Raw genomic sequence first — 6,489 nt, 5'->3', positions numbered from 1 at the left:
TCTATTTATTCTACAAGGATTTATTGAGCCTATGACTGCAATTGCAACTTGCAATTGCAACTTGATAGGTGCCCTTAACTAATTCCTATCCTGTGTGAGCTTATCCCAGCTGAGGTCATTTCCTCCTTCCTTTGACCTCCACCACACAATGCATTCCAGCTCTGTTATAATAATGAACACTAATTGTGATCCCTTTTCTTCACATAGTACAGCAAACTGACACGTTTCTCCCACCTCCTGGGCACAAAATTGGCCCATGTTCCCCAGTCTCCAGCTTTCACAGCAGTTATGTATGACTTTGTGACCAAGTTCTGGGTAATAGAAGGTGCGCAGAAGGGATGTGTATCACTCTCTGTCCTTACCCATGAACTCCTCTGGTGCAATTCTCCACACTCTCTCTTCTAATTGGATGCAAAGATCCAGCAGAAGACCCCACAGATCTAGGAGAAAGCAAGCCAACAATGGGAGAAACTCAAGCCTCTGAATGACAACATAGAAGGCCACTCACAAGTAAGAAGTAAACTTATGTTATGTTGAGTCATATGAACTTTGGGTGTTTGTATATTACAGAGAATAGTGTTTTCATCCTTACTAATACATGTGTTTATCTCCACAGTAGACTTCAGGCTCCCTGAGAGTAAGAACTGGGTTGTGTTCACCTTTATATTCTTAGAATCTGGTACGGTGCTTGGCACAGAGTATCTACTTCATAAATGTTTTGACAATCATGTTCCTGTCAATGACAGATGTTGACATTATCTAGTATTTCATAGCCTTTGATAAAAACCTATTCCTTCTCTTGAATGTGAAAAGAAAGCCTAGGATCTCATCCCCTAGTCCAGTCTGACTGCTGGACTTGAAAAGGGGCAGTAGTGGTTGAATGGGCAAAAATCAGAACTATTACTTGGTGACTTAATTTCCTATTCTTAAGCACATATCTACTTTCTATTATTTTGTAAGTTTAAAACACATTTAGTTTGTCCGAACCTCACTCATTTTGATGTCATGTAATCTAAATTTGGCAAGTTTCACTAAACAAATGTTTCTGTAAGAATTTCATAGAAAAGTGCTCTAGTGAGAGCTTATCTTTAGACACCTTCATTAGTTTTTGGAAAAATAACACAAGACACTTATTCCTGCACTATGAAATTGTATGAATAATTAAAATCAAACCTCACATATCAAAATAAATGACCTAAATACTTGTCATGATATGTTATCCTTTTACTTTGTGTGTTGGCTTCTTACTGGGTAATTCGCAAAAAATTTGCTCATCAAAAATAGGTCACCAGGTCATAAGACTGAATTTATGACTGTGGAATTCTGGAGTTTTGCTACAGTAAAAGACTCACATGTCTTCTTTGTATCTTATCTAAGTATACACATGCATCAAATTGTCGAATTCCAAGCGGAAAATAAGACTAACTTGTTTAATACATGTTTTTTTTTGTTTGTTTGTTTGTTTTTTACAGTCCACAGGTCTTTTTTTTTTTTTAACACCTATTATGCCATGAATTCATAGAGAAGAGGTTCCAGCAGCTCAGGCTCCTCCCCATGGGTTCTCACAAAGTGCACTTCTCTGGATGGAGCAGGCTGGGGCTTCAGTTGAACACAGGTACTTTTCTCTTTGGCTTCTTCCTTTTTCTGATAATTTTCCTTCACGTGCTTCAGGAAACTATCTCAGCTCTTAGAGTGCTTTGTGTGCTCAATACGCACATTAATTCTATTGGCAAGAATCTTGCCCTTAACCTGTTTGTTTACAACAATGCCAACAGCATGCTGGGTAACATTGTAGACTCTCCCAGTTTTCCATGGCAACACCTATGGGCATTCCTTTTTGAACAGTACCCATTCCCTTGATGTCTACAGTATCACTTTTCTTATAGATTCATATGTACATGGCCAAAGAAACAACTCCATGTTTTCTAAATGGTCTAGAGAACATATATTGGGTGCCTCTCCTCTTTCCCTTTTGTTTATCATTTTGGCGATTTACTGGAAGATGGTGGTTCTGGCCGAAAGGCTATGCTTTTATAAATATATGCTTTCTCTTTTAAGCCAATCTGTTTTGTGTTATTTTATATCTCCTTTTAACAATATTTTAAAATATTTTGATTGCTATAGATAATTATATTATCACAGTATTTGACAATTGGAAGAGACTTTAAGATCACCTGACTCAATGCCTTCACAGAAAGAGAAGCTGTCTTCAAGAGGTTACGTGACTATCAGAGCTCACATCTCTGACAAGCAGAAAAGCCAAGTTGAAAACCCAAGCTCTAAGTCTGGCCAATGATGCTTTGGGATTCTCCAAGATGAATTCAATGTTGATTATAAGATCTTATAAGCTAAATTATGAGTTTTGCTAAGAAGACATTACTTGATTTTATCTTTGTGATTGGAACTCATATAATTACTGTATTTAAGACTTGAGTGGCAGCAGACTAGGTTTTAGTTTCTTAATATTTAATTTAACATTTATTAGTTTAAATTTTATGAGTCTTTCTTTGGAGTTAGCTTTTTTTCCAGTTCCAAATGTTTTTAAATCCCCTCAAAAGCCTACAGCCCTCTTCAGAGTTTCAGTATTCACCCTCATGATGCCTTTTACTTTTATGTCTTGACTTTTTCTTTTCTTCTATGGTATAACGTAAGAATCAAAATCTCTATTTTTCCATATAACTAGTTATCTCTGTGCCTTCCCACTTATCTGTGATGCCTCATTTATTTATTTACTTTTGTTCGATTGTTGTATGTTTCTTGAGACAGGGTCTTTCTCTGTCTCCCAGACTAGAGTGCAATGGCACAATCATGGGTCACTGCAGCCTTGACCTACTGTGCTTAACAGATCCTCCTACCTCAACCTCCCAAGTAAACAGGACTACAGGCATGTGCCACAATGCCCAGGCCCAGCTAATGTTTTTTATTTTTAGTAGAGATGGGGTCTCGTTGTGTTACCCAGGCTGGTCTCAACTTCCTAGGCTCATGTGATCCTTCCGGCTTGGCTTCCCAAAGTGCTAGGATTACAAGTGTAAGCCACGGCACCCAGCCCCTCTTTATTGCATATTATATTGTTTTAGATAATCGGGCTGTTTTCTGGTTATTTATTCTACATTGTTGAATATATTTTTATATCAGTGTCAGTATCAGACAAAATAGGTAGTAATAAATAACTTCAAGATGTCAGTGACCTAACAAAACAAAAGTTTATTTCTCATTCATGTTATACGTTCAGCGTGGGTCAGTAGGGGGCTCTGCTTATCAAAGTCTCCTAAGGACCTTGGCTGACAGTTGACAGAGGACCATGTCCACCTTGCTTCAGAGATTAGTGAAGCCGTGCTGGTGTCTACCCAAGCGCATGTCACTTTTGCTTTGTAACTTTTTTTCTCAGTAAATTTTGCAGATAATTTTAAAATTGTTGATTGTACAAATACCTTGGGAAAGCTTTTTTAGATTTAAAAAATTATCTTGCAGATTTTCAATTGTTAGGTCGATTTTGAGCATATATAGTCCCCCCCCCCACAAATAATCATGTATTTCATTTAGACTAAAATTATTAATATAAAATTGTACGTAATATGCTCATGTAAGCAGTTTTTATAACTTTTATTTCTAATTTTATGTATTTTATCTAATTAATTAGCTTTGCTAAACATTTATCTTGCCGAATTTCATGAAAATTAAGCAGTTCTTAGATTCACTTTTTTTTTTTTTTTTTTTTGAGATGGTGTCTCACCTTGTCGCCCAGGCTGGAGTGCAATGGCACGATCTTGGCACACTGCAGCCTCTGCCTCCCAGGTTCAAGCGGTTCTCCTGCCCTAGCCTCCCAGCAGCTGGGATTACAGGCGCACTCCACCACGTTCAGCTAATTTCTTGTGTATTTAGTAGAGACGGGGTTTCACCATGTTGGCCAGGCTGGTCTCGAACTCCTGACCTCGTGATCTGCCCACCTCGGCGTCCCAAAGTGCTGGGATTACAGGCGTCAGCCACCGCGCCCAGCCAGATTTACTTTGTAATCACACATTTTGCTTTCTAACTCACTAATTTCTGCAGTTAGTTTTGATGCTGGTGGGCTAAGGGAGGTCTCCAAACGTTGGTGGGACCTCTGACCCTGGCCAGTGTCCAGGCTGTTGACACTATCTTGCAAGGAGAAATTCAAGGACAAGTTGGAAAATGGTGAAAGTGTGGAAATTTATTGTAGAATGAAAAGTACACATTCAAGAAAGGGGAGTATGAGTGTACTCAAGAGAGTCACACAAGGGGGTTTGGGGCCGCTACCTTTATGGGTTTCTTTAACCAAGGGGTAGAATATTCATAAAAATTCCTGGAAATAGGTGGAGGTTTCTTGGAACTGTGATGCCGCCCATTTTTGCATCAAATATGTGTGTTCCCAGAACTGTCATGACACTGGTGTGTGTGTGATTTAGTATGTTCGTGAGCATCTAATGAGGCCCTAGGTGAACCTAAGTCAAATCCAGTGCCATGTTGGGTCCAGTCAGTCTTAGCAAATTTGGCCCATGCCCTGGTTTTTCAGGTCTTATCAGCAACTAGCTTCTGCAGCTATTTCAACAGTTCCCTTTTGCCAGTCATGTGAAACGGCCTTCAGGAATTTTCCATTCTCCTGCGACCACCTTGTATTGCTCCTATCTCAGTTTTATCATTTTTATCTTCTTACTTTCTGGGGTTTTCTTTGCTTTCTTCTAAGTATTGAATTTAATGATTAAATGACTTACATTTTCTATCTTTTAATAGTTAATATATTTCTTAGCATATCTTTAAATATGCCATACATTTTGATGTATAATATTCTCATATTTGTATGTTTAAATTAATCTACAACTGCATGGTTGGTTTCTGTTAACCAGGTTTTAGGACGGTATTTTTTAGCTTTTAAGGGCCTGAACATTTCTATCTAGATTTTTAAAAATAGAATTTCTCATTTATTTTGGTGAGAAAATTTGGCCTATATAACCTTACAAATTATAGTTTCCAAATTCTCCAAAATGTTACCAAGGGCACATGTGCACAACCATATATAAATATGGATGTGGTGTGTGTGTGTGTGTGTGTGTGTGTGTGTGTGTCTGGGCTTGATCTTTACCTTATAACAAAATATGGTCTAGAATTTCAGTATGCATCTGTTTACCACCCAACTCAGGATGATTGGAGTCTGTAAGTAACAGTATACACAAAATAAAGGCTGTTTCTGTTTTGGCCAATGCAAAAGATGTGTCCTAAACGTAGGTGATAGCTGTCCAGTTACCTGCCCCTACTCTTTCATCCAAGAGGCTGACTGATGAGTCAACACGTCCTCCATCCTGCGTGCCAGCCAGCCATGCTGTTCAGGTTCAAATGCATGTGTAGGCTACAACTGGGTTCTTCAAACCAGTGCCTCCAAATCACAGATGGCAAACCCCTTCACACCTCAGACTCTGCCATACGGTTTAGTATTAACTTTAATTTTCAGGAGCATTCAAACCTTTTCATTCCCTTTAACATACTTTTAATTTTACAATATATACATTTTGACCTTATTTCCCTTGCTTTTTGAAGCATCAATCAATGGTTATTTTCTTCAGTAGCTCTTCCTGTCTGTATATTTCAATCCCCCATGAGACATTTTGGAACTTTCCAAGAGCCTCTGTTTTCTAAAAGATGTTGAGCTGTTTGCGAGTATTTTCATGAGAAGCTGGGAAAGGTTATATTAGGGACTACTTCTAGCTTGTCATCATCTTACTGCAGAATGTGTGTGGGTTTTTTAAATGAAAATATGAAACAAATACAATATGGTATGCAGATATTGTTCCTGTACTTGCACTTCCAAATTCTCACAGCTAAGAGGAGTAATTACACAAATAAACAAAATATGCTCAGGGGTTAGCACATGATCAGAAAACTGTGTAGCCTTTAAATAATGGTTTGACACTATCCCTTAGTAAATTTAGGACCTGGGATGAAATGAGCCAGTACAATCCTCAATATTAGAGACAGTAACCAAGTGTTCATGAGAATTCAAGCTGTTATTCTGTAGAGTTACTGAAAGATTTCTACCATTAATAATTTTAATTATAGGTTACATAAAAACATACAAAGCTACTGCTAAATTCTTTGCCTGCTTAAATAGCTTTTATTTTGAATGCTAAGCCAATCTTAATGCTGATGTAAATTATTAAATTGCTGTATTAGTTCTACCTATACAAAGTCTTATTCAAGTGACATTATCTGAGACATTTTTAACATGTGTATAAATAACCATTAATTAATGTACACACAACTAAAGAAAAACAGGAATGTTTCACAAAATGTGTGCCTGTAATTTTCAAAATTCAGTGGAGAAATAGGGATTACATATTTTAAAATTAAAGATAAAAGTCTGCTCGCAGATCCCAGGATAGCAGCATTTTATTCTGCCATAGCTCCTAAATGAACCTAAATTCTCACATCTAGAAAGGATGACAGAAAGTTTCTTAAAAAGGTGAACTGGACCATGAA

General features: G+C 37.6%; 1 long non-coding RNA gene and 1 pseudogene across 1 annotated transcript; one reads left to right on the top strand and one right to left on the bottom strand.

Moving 5' to 3' along the window:
- Window positions 1–233: 233 nt before the first annotated feature.
- LOC105370272 (uncharacterized) lies at window positions 234–2,382 on the top strand. The gene is made up of 3 exons (XR_942107.2): window positions 234–510; window positions 1,473–1,615; window positions 2,125–2,382. It is a non-coding gene; the product is annotated as an uncharacterized LOC105370272 (long non-coding RNA).
- Window positions 1,471–2,023, bottom strand: RPL21P111 (ribosomal protein L21 pseudogene 111; annotated as a pseudogene).
- Window positions 2,383–6,489: the final 4,107 nt, after the last annotated feature.

This window comes from Homo sapiens, chromosome 13, assembly GCF_000001405.40.
Source record: "Homo sapiens chromosome 13, GRCh38.p14 Primary Assembly".
NCBI lineage: Eukaryota > Metazoa > Chordata > Mammalia > Primates > Hominidae > Homo > Homo sapiens.
This window is presented reverse-complemented; position numbering and strand designations above follow the sequence as displayed.